The 17,441-nt window shown below is 42.9% G+C and overlaps 1 protein-coding gene across 5 annotated transcripts in view; it reads right to left on the bottom strand.

Moving 5' to 3' along the window:
- ZFYVE9 (zinc finger FYVE-type containing 9) overlaps positions 1-17,441 on the bottom strand; it is a 204,546-nt gene that overhangs the window by 36,244 nt on the left and 150,861 nt on the right. For 4 of the 5 annotated variants that reach the window (NM_004799.4, NM_007324.5, XM_047434674.1 and 1 more), the window contains 3 exons: positions 16,714-16,938; positions 14,414-14,496; positions 6,466-6,570 (listed from right to left, as the gene is read on the bottom strand). In NM_004799.4, the coding sequence (NP_004790.2) occupies positions 6,466-6,570; positions 14,414-14,496; positions 16,714-16,938 (413 nt within the window). Of the gene's footprint in view, positions 1-1,182; positions 1,522-6,465; positions 6,571-14,413; positions 14,497-16,713; positions 16,939-17,441 lie in introns of those variants that run through there. The other variant, XM_047434682.1, reaches the window with a different exon arrangement.

Raw genomic sequence — 17,441 nt, 5'->3', positions numbered from 1 at the left:
GGTAGTTAGCATACTCATGTCATAGAGTTAGTGTAAAGATACATATATGCTTAGAATAGTGCCTGGTACATACTAAATATTTATTATTAGTTAATACAATGGTGAAAATAATCTCATTGTAACAACATGAGGCCCAGTGCAATGGTGCAATCCAAGCACTTTGGGAGGCTGAGGCAAGCAGATCGCTTGAGCCCAGGAGTTCAAGACCAGCCTGGGCAACAAGGGGAAATCTCATCCCTATTAACAGAAAATTTGGCCGGACATGATGGTGTGTGCCTGTAGTCCCAGCTACTCAGGAGGCTGAGGTGGGAAGATCACCTGAGCCTGGGATGCAGAGGTTGCAGTGAGCCGAGATCACACCACCACTGTACTCCAGCTGGGCAACAGAGCGAGAGCAAGACTCTGTCTCAAAAAAATACATATATATATGAACCAGGTGACCTTAACCAACAAGGATCTTTAATGGCCTTGACAAAAGAGATTAGAAATTTTATATACAATGCTTATTAAAATTTCCATGCCGTCAGAAGTACTATCTTCTAGCTTTCTAAGCTTAAAGTCTTTCCTTAGTCCCTCCCTCCCTCCTCATTTTCCATATAGCCACCAAACTCAGTTTTCCAAAATCCTGCTTTCATTAAGTCACTTTTTCTGCTTAAGAACCTATAAAAGCTCTTTATAAATTATCATATTAAAATCTAAATTCCTCTGAGTGGATTTTGAAGCCAGCAGTCTTAGTACAACCTCACATCCCACAAAGCCATCAGTCTGCTTTAACCCCCTCTTTGCTAGGCACTTTGTTGTCTCCCATTTCCCTATGAGCTATGCTCCTTCCCTTCCTTTGTGTAGGCAGGTATCTATCCCCCTTTTCACTTAAGGTCTTTTCTGCCCTTTTTTGCTTTTGTTTTTGTTTTTGAGACAGGGTCTCACTCTGTCACCCAGGCTGGAGTGCAGTGGAGAAATCTCAGCTCACTGCAGTCTCGACTTCCTGGGCTCAGGTGATCCTCCCACCTCAGCCTCCCAAGTAGCTGGGACTACGGGGCATGCGCCACCATGCCCAGCTAATTTTTTGTATTTTTTGTAGAAATGGGGTCTTGCCATGTTGCCCAGGCTGATCTTTAAATCCTAGGCTCAAGCAATCTGCCCACCTTGGCCTCCCAAAGTACTGGGATTACAAGCGTGAGTCACCATGCCGTCTGCCCTTCTCTTTCTAGTGCCTAGTTATCATTCATTATCCATTTCAAATCTTTCATTCATCTAGTTATTTGGTGAACATTTACGAACATCTCCTACATGCAATGTGTTGCTCTGTTAGGGATTCAGGGTCAATAAGAAATTAAGAAACATTGGTGTCTATTCTATTCATCCTCTAGAGATCTACTTTCTCTGTACCTTTAGTATACTTGCAATAAATTTCACCATTTGTTTTCATATTGTTTTATCTATATTAGATCTGTTTCATGTCTTCATCCAACAGATATTTCTTGCTAACCCACTCCGTACTAGGGTGTTTGCTGATGATACCTGTGGTATACAAGATAGACATAGTCCCTCATGGAACTCACAGCAGAGAAAACAGACACACAACAAGGAATTACAAATGTACTGATTATTACAAATAGTATGCATAGAATTCTAGGAATGCATATAATAGAGTTACCCCAGTTGGGAGTTAAATCAAAGTATATGTGAAAAAAATGTCATTTACAGTGACACCTGAATAATGAGTGGGGGTTAGGCAGGTGAAGAGTAGGGGAAGTATGAATCAATAAGGAACCAGCTCTGCAAAAGCCATGAACAAAAGAGCACAAAATATGGGCAATAATAAGAAAGACTATGAGTATAAATGGAAAAAATGAATGAGAGGAAAAGAAGAATATTGTGATTAAATAAAATGTACAAGAAAATTATGGCCGGGTGTAGTGATGCCTGTAATTCCAGCACTTAGGGAAGCCAAGATGGGAGTATCACTTAAGCCCAGGAGTTCAGGATCAGCCTAGACAACATGGAGAAATCCTCTCTCTACAAAACAAAAAAATACAAAAATTAGCTGGGTGTGATGGTACACGCCTGTAGTCCCAGCTACTTAGGAGGCTGAAGTGGGAGGATCACTTGAGCCCAGGAAGTTGAGACTGCAGTGATCCATGATTGTGCCACTGCACTCTAGCCTTGGTGACACAATAAGACCCTGTTTCCAAAAAGAAAAGAAAAGAAAAAAGAAATTACTTTTTCAACTATGAAGTGGAATTATTAGACACAACACAATTTAACTGTATGAGATTGTAGGAGATAAAATTATGTTGAGTTAAAATAAAAATTAAATCAGAAGGAAAATTGTTTGTGGCCGGGCACAGTGGCTCACGCCTGTAATCCCAGCACTTTGGGAGGCCAAGGTGGGTGGATCACGAGGTCAGGAGATCGAGACCATCCTGGCTAACACGGTGAAACCCCGTATCTACTAAAAATACAAAAAAATTAGCCGGGCGTGGTAGCGGACACCTGTAGTCCCAGCTACTCGGGAGGCTGAGGCAAGAGAATGGCGTGAACCCGGGAGGCGGAGCTTGCAGTGAGCCGAGATCGCTCCACTGCACTCCAGCCTGGGTGGCGGAGCAAGACTCCGTATCAGAAAAAAAAAAAAAAAGAAGAAAAAAGAAAATTCAGTTTGCTAATCAGGTAAGAAAAAGACCTGATACATAATCCATAAAATAAATGACAAGAAATACTGTTACTCTTTTAGAACAAAGGATTCTGAACCTGCACACCATAAACGGAGGCAACAGAGTTCAGATAAAAACAGGTTATATGAATAGGAGCTATTGTTGTGAAAGTGTCCAGTCAGTACTGAAGTAACTATGGGGGCTGAACGCAGTGGCACACACCTGTAATTCTAGCACTTTGGGAGGCCAAGGTGGGTAGAAGACCTGCAGTTAGGAGTTTGAGACCAGCCTGGCCAACAGGGTGAAATCCTGTCTCTATTAAAAATACAAAATTTTGGCTGGGTATGGTGGTGTATGCCTGTAGTCCCAGCTACTCAGGAGGCTCAGGTAGGAGAATTGCTTGAATCCTGGAGGCGTAGGTTGCAGTGAGCCAAGATTGTGCCACTGCACTCCAGCCTGGGTGACAGAGCAGGACTCTGTCTCAAAAACAAAACAAAACAAAAAAAAAGAAATAACTATGAGCGCCTCAGCTTTTACAGATATACTTGTACAAACAAAATTTCTAAACACACAGCACTACCTCGCAAACATCAAGGATAGCAATATGTTATTTGCTTGGGAATGACATCTGATCATCTAACTGTTACAGGATCCTTGGTGTGTTGCTTTTCTGGCTGGAAAGCTCTGTGGCCAGTGGTGCCTTTGCCTGAGTTTTGCTCAGGCCTGCTGGGCTTGTTCCGGCCACTCAGCCTGGCAGGCTGTGCTAGGCTTACACTACCAGCCTGGATCCCATGTCTGTCAAGGGTGAGCCAGGCATGGAGCAGCAAGGGGTGTGTGAGAAAGCAAGCGTGGGTTCCGGCCACTGCACACAGTCAGGCATGCTGGCTGCTGCAGTGAGGCAGGTAGCTCCAGGTGCCTGCACAGGCCCTGGCTCTCTGCCAGGCTGCAGCTGGACCAGGTGCACCGCAAGCAGCTTCCACAGCTGCCACCAGGGAATGTGGTGACATTCGGAAGCTTGGAGACTTCAGTAACCACAGGGCCCCAAAGAGGGAGTCACAGCCCTGGCTCAGGGAGCTCCCAAGCTTGGGTTCCCCAAAGGGCTGCAGCTCTTCTCTCCTTCTCTTCACTTGCAATGTGGCAAGCAAGGGGCATGTTTCAGCCTTGTTTGTGTCACAGCTCTTTCAGCCCTGCCATTTGGCAGGTCCCGAGTTCTTGTCCTGCATCCAGGAAGAATGAGGTATGCAGACAAGTGGAGGGTGAGCAAAGTGAAGAGGAGCTTTATGAGTGACGTAATAGAGGAGGGCCTGGGGTGGGTGGCTCCTCTCTACAGGCAGGTTGTCAAATCGAGTATTCAGCTCTCAGCAGAGAGGCGGCCCTGGAGTGAGCAGCTCCTCTCTACAGCTGGTCATCTCAGCGTCTGCAGGTCTCAGCAGAGAGGAGACCCTGGAGTGGGCAGCTCCTCTCTGCAGCTGGTCATCCCGATGTCTGCTCAGCTCTAGCTGATCCCAGGGCTTTTACAGGCCTCAGAGGAGGGGAAGCATGCACCGACTGGTGCATGGACAGCCATGGGCAGGCTGAGAAAAGGCACCCCAAGTTCCCACTACAGTCCATGGGACTGGTGGCCTGGCCCCCCAGCCTTCAGGCCCTTCCTAGCCTGAAGGTGGAACCTCATCGGGGACCTGGCCTCTTCTGCTCAGGAACGTGTTTGCCTCCTGCTATTCATGGTGCCCAAGCTGTAGGTTCCATGGGGTGTCTGCAGGCCAGCATTGAGCTGCACACATCCCCCATCAGCTTACTTCCTATGTTTGTCAGTGCCCAAAGTCCAGAGGGGGCCAAGGCGGCAGGGCACTGGTGTGTCAGCACTGCCCCGACTTTGCTCTGAGATTGGAGTGGGTGCTGACAGCAGGGAAAAGCCAGGCAGTAGGAGCAGGCATTTCCAGGGCTGTAAGGGAGGGGGGCCTTCCCAAGCACGAGGATGCCTGGGTCCGTAGCCACAACTCGGGTAGCTACAGCTGTGCCTGCAAGGGGGGAGCTCCTGCCTGCTCCATGGAGCAGAAGGCCCAGGTCTGCAGCCATAACTTGGGCAGCTGCACCTTGGGAGGCCCACCCCACCAACTCGGAAGGGGTGGGGCTCCCACTTGTCCCCGGCTCCTACAGGCTCCACGGAGTATGCAGCCCTGGCAGCACCACCCTGCTGCAGCCAGCATGATGGCAGCAGCCACTCCAGACAGGCCACTGATGCCATCATTTTCCTGGACAGCAAACGCTCCGAAAGCAGGCATAAGGTTTTTGTTTGTTTGTTTTTTTGAGACAGAGTTTTGCTCTTGTCGCCCAGGCTGGAGTCCAATGGTGAGATCTCAGCTCACTGCAACCTCTGCCTCCCATGTTCAAGCAATTCTCCTGCCTCAGCCTCCCGAGTAGCTGGCATTACAGGCACCCAGCCAATGTTTGTATTTTTAGTAGAGACGGGGTTTCACCACGTTGGCCAGGCTGGTCTCAAACTCCTGACGTCAGGTGATCCACCTGCCTTGGCCTCCCAAAGTGCTGGGATTACAAGTGTGAGCCATCGCGCTTGGCCAGCAGGCCTAATGTTCTTATCTCATCTTTATATTTCAAATCACAGAATATATTTAATACATGTTTGTGAAATAGACAATAATATTTCAAATTTGAGAAATAAAATAGGTTTTCAAAGCACAATCTCTTTTAAAATTCTTTAGGCCATGAAAGATTGCATTACTGCACTCCAGCCTGGGCAACAGAGCAAGATCTGTGAACTACAAATAGTTCACTTTAAAGATTTGACTCTACCTAGTCTCATCGATTACTCCTTGATACTCCAAGGCAGGATTATCTAAATGCTGAAGACTGCTAGTTGTATCCCAGAAAAAAGTAAGCACACATTCTAGCTACTATTTTCTAATATCCTTAAAAAAAAAAAAATCACGTGGAAAGTCATGGCTAAAAGCTTTCTTCACAGAGGTCATTCTCATAATAATGCTGAGAACTGAGCTCACAAATCCAATAAAACATCTGTGTGATTCTACGTGCATACCAAGTACATAATGTTTATTCAACGCATAAATGATTTAGTGGCTAAATGAAGAAAAAATGAAATGAAAAAGGAAAAAAAAAGGAAAAAGGAAGGAAAAATTATTTTATACAAAGAAACCCGGCTGGGCACAGTGGCTCGTGCCTGTAATCCCAGCACTTTGGGAGGCCGAGGTGGGTGGATCACCTGAGATTAAGAGTTTGAGACCAGTCTGGCTAACATGGTGAAACCTCGTCTCTACTAAAAATACAAAAATTAGCCAGGCATGGTGGCGGGTGCCTGTAATCCCAGCTACTTGGGAGGCTGAGGCAGAAGAATCACTTGAACCCAGGAGGCAGAGGTTGCAGTGAGCTGAGATCACACCATTGCACTCCAGCCTGGGCGACACAGTGAGACTCCATCTCAAAAAATAAATAAATAAATAAATAAATATTTATAGTAGGAGTGGGGACATTTTAAAAATCTCACCACTAATATTACAGATACAAGGCTAATTTCATGACCTAATCAAAATGCAAATCTAATACTAATTATCATAACATCAAAAGGTAAAATGACACATCCAATGAACCACTAGGTCAGAAATTTGACATCTTGTCTTCCTGTAATGAAATTCCCCATAATTGAACTAAGCCATACAATATTATTAACTGATTTCATTGTTAATTAATTATAAGTAAAATTTATATATAATCATGCATTTTTCACCTTCACTCATGTTTTCAACTATGAAAAATACGCCTTCATGGTAAATCTTACCTCATTGTATCTGTTGCTGGGAATTTTGATGCTAGTTTTCCGAACTTCCATATCAACCACCAAACCTTGAACTACTGGCAAGGTATACTGGTAATTTCTGAAGTCCTGGGCCAAAGCAGATTGAAGCAGAATAAATTAATTCATCAATGGTAGGGTTTAATTTATAGTAATAAAATTAACACGAATGGAAAAAATGTCAATATTGAAAGATCCTATTTATTTAAATAATAAGGAAATGTATAATGAAAGCCCCACTATATGTATTTTAGCTCTTTAGTCTTTAAACTCTTATAAGTAAACCAAACATTATCATATACCTCTTATACACAACATTAAAAAATATTTTTGAATGTCTACCCTGCTTTACCACCACTTAACATTTTCTGTATTTATTTGTTAACTATCTGTCTCCTCCCTCTGAAGCTCCAAGAGAGTACAAACTCTCAGTTGTGTTGTTCTTGCTATATCCTTAACGCCTGGAACATCTTAGGCACTCAATGAATATCTGTAAGGAAACACACACACACACTAACACATCATCTATCCAGTATGGGTGAAACAAAATGAACAAGAGTGGTGGACTCAAGGTCAAAGTAATAGCAAATGGCTAGATTTCATAGGTTCTTATAGGTCACCGTGAGGACTTTTGCCTTTAGGAGGCTTTTGACCTGTTTTAACAGATCTGACTCCTTGGTAATGAATAGGTGGTAAGGGAGGAAGAATGGAAGAAAAGATCAGATAAATACCATAAAAACAATCAAGGTAGGAGATAGTGAGAGCTTAGACCAGGATGTTAACAGTTTATTTATTTATTCTGAGATGGAGTCTCACTCTGTTGCCCGAGCTGGAGTGCAGTGGTGCCATCTTGGCTCAGTACAACCTCCGCCTCCAGGGTTCAAGCGAGTCTCATGCCTCAGCTTCCCAAGTAGCTGGGATTACATATGTGCGTCACCATGCTCGGCTAATTTTTGTATTTTTAGTAGAGACAAGGTTTCACCATGTTGGCCAGACTGGTCTTGAACTCCCAACCTCAGGTGATCCACCTGCCTCGGTCTCTCAAAGTGCTACAATTACAGTCGTGAGCCACTGCACCTGGCCAGGATGTTAACAGTTTAAAAAGTGATGAGAAGTTGTCAGTTTCTAGATATATAGATACAGATTTTTTTTTTTTTCCTGAGACAGAGTCTCGCTCTGTTAACCAGGCTGGAGTGCAGTGGCGCAATCTTGGCTCACTGAATCCTCTGCCTCCCAGGTTCAAGCAATTCTACTGCCTCAGCCTCCCAAGTAGCTGGGATTACAGGAATGCACCACCAGGCCCAGATAATTTTTGTATTTTTAGTAGAGATGGGGTTTTGCCATGTTGGCCAGGCTGGTCTCAAACTCCTGACCTCAGCTGATCCGCCCACCTTGGCCTCCCAAAATGCTGGGATTACAAGTGTGAGCCACTGCGCCCAGCCTGTTTCCAGACATATTTTAAAGGAAAATCTGATAATATTTGCCACTGTGGATGTGGAATGTGAACAAATGATAAAAGTTAAAGATGATTCTAAATTTTATAGCCAGGGCTACTAGAAGACTGGAACTGCCATTTACTGAAATGTAGAATATGATGTGAGATGGAGGGTTTTTCTAAGTAACTTGACTTCATTACTTGCAAAAAAAGCTCAAGAATATTGATAACCAGCACCCAACTGGTAAAATCAGAATGTCTGGCAACCAATAAAAAAATACCAAACATTCAAAGAAGCAGGAAAATACAACTCAAAATAAAGGAAAAAAAATCAATCCATGGAAACGGAGCCAGAACTTATACAAGAAGTTAGAATTACTAAAGGCATTACAATAGTTATTATATTGTATTCTACATGTACAAAATGTTAAGCAGAGACATAAAAGATCTTAAAAGACCCAAGTATAACTTCAAGAGATGAAAATCAAAGTATTTGATTGAGATTGTTTAAAAGATTGATAGAATTAACAGCAGCTTAAACCAAAATAAAAGATTAGTGAAATTGAGAGCACAGCAATAAAATTCATCCTAAATGAAAACAAGAGACAAAAAAGACTGAAAAAGAAATAAAAAGAACATTAGTAAGACGTGAAACAATTTCAAGCAGCCTGATATATATGTAATTGGAGTAATCTCCTTCAGGGAGAGAAGGGGATGAACAGAAAAAATATCAGATGAAAACTATAAACCCATAGATTCAAAAAGCTCAATGAACCCCAAGTACGGGAAACATGAAAACTACACTATGGCACATTATAATCAATTTGCTTCAAACTTGTAATTTTAAAAAGCTTTTGAAACTAGCCAGAGAAGGTCAGGCACAGTGGCTCATGCATGTAATCCCAATACTTTGGGAGGCTGAGGTGGAAGGATAGCTTGAGCCCAGGAGTTGGAGACCAGTCTGAGAAACACTGCGAGGCCTTGTCTGTATAAAAAATAAACAAAATTAGCTGGGCATAGCGGCACGTACCTGTAGTCCCAGCTACTTGGTAGGCCAAGGTCGGGGGGATCACCTGAGCCCTGTGGGTCAAGGGTGCAGTGAGCCGTGATTGTGCCACTGCACTCCAGCCTGGGCAACAGAGTGAGACCCTATTTCCAAAAAAAAAAAAAAAAAAAAAAAAAAAGATGGAAAAAGAAAAACAACGTTAAGAAAAGAAAAAATTGTTATGTAGAGAGGAACAAAGATGAGAGGGAAAACAATGCAAAGCAGAAGACAGTGGAGCAACATCTCAAAAACACTCAAAGAAGAAAACTCGGGCTGAGCATGGTGGCTCACACCTGTAATCCCAGCACTTTGGTAGGCCAGGGCAGGAGGATCCCTTGAGGTCAGGAGTTCAAGACCAGCCTGAGCAACATAGTGAAACCCTGTCTCTACTAAAAATACAAAAATTAGCTGGGCATGGTGGTGCATGCCTGTAATCCCAGCTACTCGGGAGGCTGAGGTGGGAGCATTGCTTGAGCCCGGGAGGTGGAAGTTGCAGTGAGCCGAGATTGTGCCACTGCACTACAACCTGGGTGAAAGAGTGAGACTCTGTCTCAAAAAAAAAAAAAACCAAAAAACCTAAACAACAAAACTCAACCTAGACTTCTCCAACCACCAAAAGTATCTTCCAAATATGAAGATCAAATAAAGATGTTGTTAGAAATACAAAAGCTAAAATAATTCATCAGCAGCAAACCTACACTGTAAGAAATATTACAGGCAATCATTTTGGCAGAAGGAAAATGACACCAGATGAAAATACAGAGTTATACAAAGGAATGAAAAACACTGGAAATGGCAACTAGATGGGTAAATCTACAAGATTTTTTTTCTTTTTCTTTTGAAACTGAGTCTTACTCTGTCGCCCAGGCTGGAATGCAGTGGCACGATCTTGGCTCACTGCAACCTCTGCCTCCCAGGTTCAAAAGATTCTCCTGGCTCAGCCTCCTGAGTAGCTGGCATTTACAGGCATGTGCCACCATGCCCAGCTAAGTTTTGTAGTTTTAGTAGAGACGGGGTTACACCATATCAGCCAGGCTGGTCTCAAACTCCTGACATCGTGATCCGCCTGCCTTGGCCTCCCAAAGTACTGAGATTACAGGCATGAGCCACTACGCCCAGCCAAGACTTTTTTTTCTTATTGTTCTCTCTAAACGACAGTGACATCAGCAAGATGGTTGACTGGAGTTGTCTGGCTCTTGCTCCCCTCTACTCAACAAAAGGGACCAAAACAACAATAAACAAACTATATTTCAACTGGAGTGGCTGTGGAAGTATGCTGGAGAGCACCAGGGGAGTGCTGAAATTCCTGTGGAGCACCAGATGCCCCAGATAGCACCACAGAGACGGGAGCGAAGCACTCTGCCTCTGCCGCACTGCCTCCCTGCAAGGAGTGGCCTGGAGTCAGGAAGGACTACTTCTAATGGGGAAAGGGTAAGCTGGGGACCCATGGTCCCCATGACCACTGCAGCCTCGTCCCGCGGTCCTCACAAACCCTGAATCCAGTTTGTAGTTGCCTGCAGTTCACAGGACTACACTGCTCCAGAGTTGGAGCCCATGTCATACAGCCCTCATTCCCAGTCATAGCATGGTGCCATCTTGAAACTGGACCCACTGCTAGAGTTCATCCTGCCTGGGGGCCAATTGCCACTGCATCTCTCCATCTCTGAAGCTCCACTGTCAGTCCACAACACACACATGTAGCTGTATCACCATCATCCAGCTGCTGAGAGCCTAGGCCCAACAGAATGAGGGAGCCCTGGCACTGAACTCACATGGCACCTCCCTGCCCCAGGGAACAGACAGACCTGTACAGTGGAGAAACCAACACACAGCTGGCTGGCCTGCTGTGCCCAGCTGGACAAGCAGCCCAGCACAATAAAGGCCATATGTGACAAACCCACAGCTAACATCATACTGAATGGGAACAGTGGAAATCTTTTCCTCAAAGAACAGGAACAAGACATGGATGCCCATTTTAATCCTTTCTATTCAACATAGTCCTAGCCAGAGCACTTAGGCAAGAGAAAGAAATAAAAGGCATCCAAACTGGAAAGTCAAATTGTGCTTGTTTGCAAATGACATGACCCTATACATAGAAAACCCTAAAGATGCCACCAAAAACCTGTTAGAGCTAATGAACAAATTCGGTAAAGTTGTAGGATACAAAATCAGCATGTAAAATCAGTAGTGTTTCTATACGCTAATAAAAAATAAAGAAAACAATTCCATTTACAGTAGCTATAAAAAAAATAAGATACCTAGGAATACACTTAGTTAAGAGGTAAAAGATCTTTACAAAGAAACCTCTAAAACATTGAAAAAGGGCCGGGCAAGGTGGCTCACGCCTGTAATCCCAGCACTTTAGGAGGCAGAGGCGGGCGGATCATGAGGTCAGGAGATCGAGACCATCCTGGCTAACACAGTGAAACCCCGTCTCTACTAAAAGTACAAAAAATTGGCCAGGCGTGGTGGCGGGCACCTGTAGTCCCAGCTACTCGGCAGGCTGAGGCAGGAGAAGGTGTGAACCCGGGAGGCGGAGCTTGCAGTGAGCCGAAATTGCGCCACTGCACTCCAGCCTGGGTAACAGAGCAAGACTCCGTCTCAAAAAAAAAAAAAAAAAAAAACATTGACAAAGGAAACTGATTCCATGTTCATGGATTGGAAGAATTAATACCGTGAAAATAGCCATACTACCCAAAGGTATCTACAGATTTAATGCAATCTCTATCAAAATGCCAATGATATTCTTCACAGAAACAGAAAAAAAAACCAAAACCTTAATATTCTTATAAAACCACAAAAGGCCTCAAATGGCCAAAACAGTCCTGAGCAAAAAGAACAAAGCTAGAGATATCACACTACCTGACCAAATATACTACAAAACTATAATAACCAAAACAGCATAGTAGTGGCCAAAACAAACACATACTCCAACAGTACAGAATAGAAGGCCCAGAAATGAATTTGGACACCTACAGCCAACTAATTTTCGACAAAGGTGCCAAGAACACACACTGCAGAAAGGACTCTCTTCAATAAATAGTACTTGGAAAAGTGGATATATCCACATGCAGAAGAATGAAACTAGACCCCCACCTCTCCCCATATACAAAAATCAACTAAAAACGGATTAAAGACTTAAATTTAAACCCAAAACTATGAAACTATTAGAAGAAAACAGGGCAAATGCTTCACAATATTGGGCTAGGCAATGAATTTTTAGATAAGATCCCAAAAGCACAGGCAATAAAAGCAAAAATAGACAAATGGAATTACATCAAACTAAAAAGATTTTGCACAGAAAAGGAAACTATTAACAGAGTGAAGACACAACCTACAGAAATGGAAAATATCTGCAAACCATACATCTGAAAAGGAGTTAATATCCAGAATATATAACAAATTTAACCTAGCAGCAAAAAGACAACCCAATTAAAAAACAGGCAAAAGGCACTTTGGGAGGCTGAGGTGGGTGGATCACTCGAGGTCATGAGTTTGAGACCAGCCTGGCCAACATGCGCCTCTACTAAAAATACAAAAACTAGCTGGGCATGGTGTTTCGTGCCTGTAATTCCAGCTACTGGGGAGGCTGAGGCACAAGAATTGCTTGAACCCAGGAGATGGAGGTTGCAGTGAGCCGAGATCGTGCCACTGCACTCCAGCCCAGGCGACAGTGCGAGACTCTGTCCCAAAAAACAAAACAAAACAAAATTTTTTAAAGAAATAAAAAAAAAAAGATAACTGGAAATATAGCTTTTAAGCATCACAGAGGGAGGAAATCACCAAACCCACTCCTCAAAAAGCAACCGAAAAGCTGTATAAGTGGCTTAAAAAGAACCATTTCAGTGCTCTGGAATTAGATCAAAGGCATATTAACATTAAGAAGTGTTTTGGCTGGGCATGGTGGCTCATGCCTGTAATCCCAGCACTTTAGGAGGTTGAGATGGGTGGATCACCTGAGGTCAGGAGTTTGAGACCAGCCTGGCCAACAAGGTAAAACCCTGTCTCTATGAAAAATACAAAAAATTAGCCAGGCGTGGTGGCAGGTGCCTGTAATCCCAGCTGCTCTGAAGGCTGAAGCAGGAGACTCTCTTGAACCTGGGAGGCAGAGGTTGCAGTAAGATTGTGCCACTGCACTCCAGCCTGGACAACAGAGCGAGACTCCATCTCCAAAAAAAAAAAAAAAAAGAAATGTTTTTTTCATGAAAACTACTGAACTTTGAATTGAGTCTGTGACCTTCTTGCCTGGGGCTGCCCCCTAGCCCCATTAGGTAGTTAGGTAGTTCAACCAGGGCAAGGTAGTTTGTAAAAACAATGAGCTTTGCAGCTGGGAGCAGTGGCTCATGCCTGTAATACCAGCACTTTGGGAGGCTGAGGCAGGTGAATCATTGAGGCCAGGAGTTTGAGATCAGTCTGGCCAACATAGCAAAACGCTCTCTCTACAAAAAATACAAAAATTAGCTGGGTGTGGTAGTGTGCTCCCATAGTCACAGCTGCTCAGGAGGCTCAGGCACGAGAATTGCTCGGAGGTGGAGGTTGCAATGAGCTGAGATCGTGCCACTGCATTCCAACTTGGGCGATAGAGACTCTGTCTCAAACAAAATAAAACAAAACAAACAAAAAAATGAGCTTTGCTACTTGAAGGAGTTTACTTGCTATGGAACATTGTCAAAGTGGTAATCTCGGTGGTTATTAAAAAGGGAGGCCCAGTAGCTTGATTACCTTGATTTCACCAAACCTGTTTGGGGCAAGTTCTGGGAGGTAAGACAACCATAGGGAGCTTCATAAACGGTCCAAATATCCAGGATTGATCCTAGTCTGTGCATATATGCAGCAGAGAACTTAGTGGACTCAAGCCAACCAATGATCTTGGCCAACAGAGTCAGAACCTGTGCACGTGTGTAGGAGACATGAGAGAGCCCAGAAGAAAGGAAAACAATGAAGTTTAAATTCCAGTCCATATTCAGATCCATCAGCAGAGGGCAGTAGCCTTACTGGCTTGGGGTATCTGGGTACAATCTCTGACCAATCTTTGCTTGGATAATAACCTATATAGACACAAGAGAAACTCATAGAATGCCAGTCTTAAAATAAAAACAAGACAGAATGCTAGGTGTTTTATTTATGTATTACTTCTAGTCCTCACAATAATTCTGCAAGGTTGGACGGTAAGTGTATAATCAGGCGCTGGAATCCTGTACCATTTCACTTCATGTTTGCAAAAGAATATATATATGTGTGTGTGTGTGTGTGTATACATATGAATATATATGTATATGTGTGTGTGTGTATATATATATATACACATACATATACTGTTCTTTTTCTTCAGCATATATCTTTACCTGCCTTAAGCAGCTTGGGCACAGCTACCAAGAAAATAATAAAATTGCTTTCTTCCTTCTCCCATATAAACTCCAGTAAGGACAAAGGAAAAAAAATTCCCAACTTACTGCAAGAAGATTCATGATGGTATGCCCCGTCTCTCCAAACAATGGCTTCCGAAATCTGACACTGAATAGTGGGCATGGATAAACTATGGAAATGAGAAATGATCAAACTTAAATTTGGCAACATAAAACTTTGGTAAAAGAGATTTCATGACTAATACAATTTTCAAAATATAATTATAATGGCTCATTAGAACATATCAAATTTTGGGCTCAAAAAGTATTTGGCATGGTAGCAGACAAATGCTGAGCCATATTAAGTCTTCTGATAACCAGAATAAGCCTTTCGATGTAAATGTTTCAAAAATGACACACAATAGCCAGGCATAGTGGCTCATGCTTGTAATCCCAGCACTTTGGGAGGCTGAGGCAGAAGGATCACCTGAGCCTAGGAGTTTGAGACCAGCCTGTGCAACCTAGGGAGACCCTGTCTCTACAAAAAAACAAACAAAAAAATTAGCTGGGTGTGGTAGCATGCACCTGTAGTCCCATCTACTTGGGAGGCTGAGAGGTAGAAGGATGGCTTGAGCCCAGGTGACAGAATGGGTGACAGAGTGGGCTGGAGCCCACTCCAGCCTTGGTGACAGAATGAGACCCTGTCTCCAAAACAAACAAACAAACAAACAAACAAACAAACAAACCCACAAGGTCTTAGGGAGCAATCTTCTTCAAACTGAATTGATACGATCCAGGAAATAAATATCTCCTGATTCCTCTGTGCTCAATAAGTTTAAGAGTTCACTTTTTCTTTTTCCAACAAGTTTAAGAGTTCACTCTTTTTTTTTTGAGACACAGTCTCACTCTGTCACCCAGGCTGGAGTGCAGTGGCATGATCTCCTGCCTTAGGAGGGTTCAAGCGATTCTCCTGCCTCAGCCTCTCCAGTAGCTGGAATTACAGGCATGCGCCACCATACCCAGCTAATTTTTTTGTATTTTTAGTAGAGATGGGATTCACCATGTTGGCCAGGCTGGTCTTGAACTCTTGACCTCAAATGATCTGCCTGCCTTGGCCACCTCTCAAAAGTGCTGGAATTAGAGGCATGAGCCACCGCACTCAGCCAAGAGTTCATTCTTCTATACCTCCTAACCAGGATCCTCCTTAGGAGAGGCAAATCAGTCTGGCTCATCTCTTGAATTTTATGGTTTGAAATGCCTGTATAAAATAGGAAGATACACATGTTGCTTCTTTTGCACACAATCCTTCCCTTTCCCTGATTCATTTAGCTGATTCATATGCCTCCTTCAGAGTTAATCCAGAGGCACTCTGGTCCAAGAAAACTGAAGGTCCAACTACTCCTTCATTCCTGGTCTGGTCAAGTTAGAGCCTGTCTTGGAGCTCCCAATGAACTTAACTTTGAGCACAGGTTTTAATACAAGATACCACTACAATCATTATTTCTGTATGTATTCCTTATAAAAGTTCCCGAGAGCCTATAATCACATCTTAGCTATTTCAGAATTCCCAGGATTCAGGATATATGGGAGGCCTTTATTAAATTCTTACTGAATAAATAAATAATTGGTGGAAGAATGAAGTTGACTTGCTGAGAACATAAACTGTTTTATGGTTTATAAAATTATGTTTCATTTATTCTCTCATTTGATCCTGTTAACAACCCAATATAAAATAGAAGGCAAGCATTATTATTTCCAGTTTACAAAAGAAACACAATCAGAGAACTTGGGTGACTTGCCCAAAGTTACAGAGCTCATAAGTGGCAGAGTTGAGAATCTTACTCAAGTGGTCGGATTCCTAGCACAGGGCACTTTTAATTAGATGGAGATATAAAATTTAAAATAAAGTTTGCATTTAACCATTAATGTCTTTTTAAAAATCACATCTTAGTTACGCTGCTAAAGCCATGAGCAAGGAAGCTCCTTCTTCTGTAGCCTGTATCTTACCAACTGAGAGTGGTTTCCATTCCACTAGCTTCCAGTATGTTAAGTAAAATATAATTGATCGTAACTGTTTTCCAACCAAGTGACAAAGAATATGCTCATCATATACAGAAACTATAAAAAATAAAGTTACTTAAGTTCAAATTCACTTTTCTAAAGATGATCGTGTTTTTTATCAATGAACTATAAAAGCAGTAAGTTTACAAGGTAATACATAATCAACTTCCTCATTCGTTATTTTCAGTGCTTCCCATTATGCCCAATACACGCAGACACTGGCCAAATTTAGTTTAGCTATTTCAAAAGACTATTTCTGCTGAATTATATCACCAAACAGAGGGCTCTGAATATTTCAGGCATTATTTTAGTCATCATGCCTTGAAAAACGTGTTTTTACTACTTACGTCGATATTCAGCTCCAAGTCTCAACATCAGACGGATAGGAAATACTTTAGCCCAAGGAGTTTCCCATTTCTGGATAAGAATCCCAAACAAGTAAGGTGGGGTTGGGAGTACTAGGTCTTGCAGTGACTGGTAGGTAGATGTCACATATAAGAATCCACCATGTTCTTTACTGCCAAGGAAACTTTGACTGAAGAAGGAATGTCCCAAGTTGCTCACCACATTCCCTAAAAACAAAAAAGTTTATTAGCTACTTTGTATCAATAAATTAATCATATTTCTTTTTTTTTTTTTTTTTTTTTTGAGACGGAGTCTGGCTGTTGCCCAGGCTGGAGTGCAGTGGCGCAATCTTGGCTCACTGCAAGCTCCGCCTCCCAGGTTCACCCCATTCTCCTGCCTCAGCCTCCTGAGTAGGTGGGACTACAGGTGCCCGCCACCAGACCTGGCTAACTTTTTTGTATTTTTAGTGGAGACGGGGTTTCACCGTGTTAGCCAGGATGGTCTCCATCTCCTGACCTCATGATCCACCTGCCTCAGCCTCCCAAAGTGCTGGGATTACAGGCATGAGCCACAGCGCCCGGCCAATTAATCATATTTTTAATAAACATTATGCAACTCTGGGCTGGATGGACACTACCAAACAGTAATTCCCAATCTTTCACTATGAAAGACTTACATTTAAAAAGCTGATTTTTAAATAAATGGCATTTATTAAATGAAAATTTGGTTT

Source organism: Homo sapiens, chromosome 1 (genome assembly GCF_000001405.40).
Source record: "Homo sapiens chromosome 1, GRCh38.p14 Primary Assembly".
Lineage (NCBI taxonomy): Eukaryota > Metazoa > Chordata > Mammalia > Primates > Hominidae > Homo > Homo sapiens.
The sequence above is the reverse complement of the archived record's forward strand: the minus strand, read 5'-3'. Positions and strand labels throughout refer to the sequence as shown.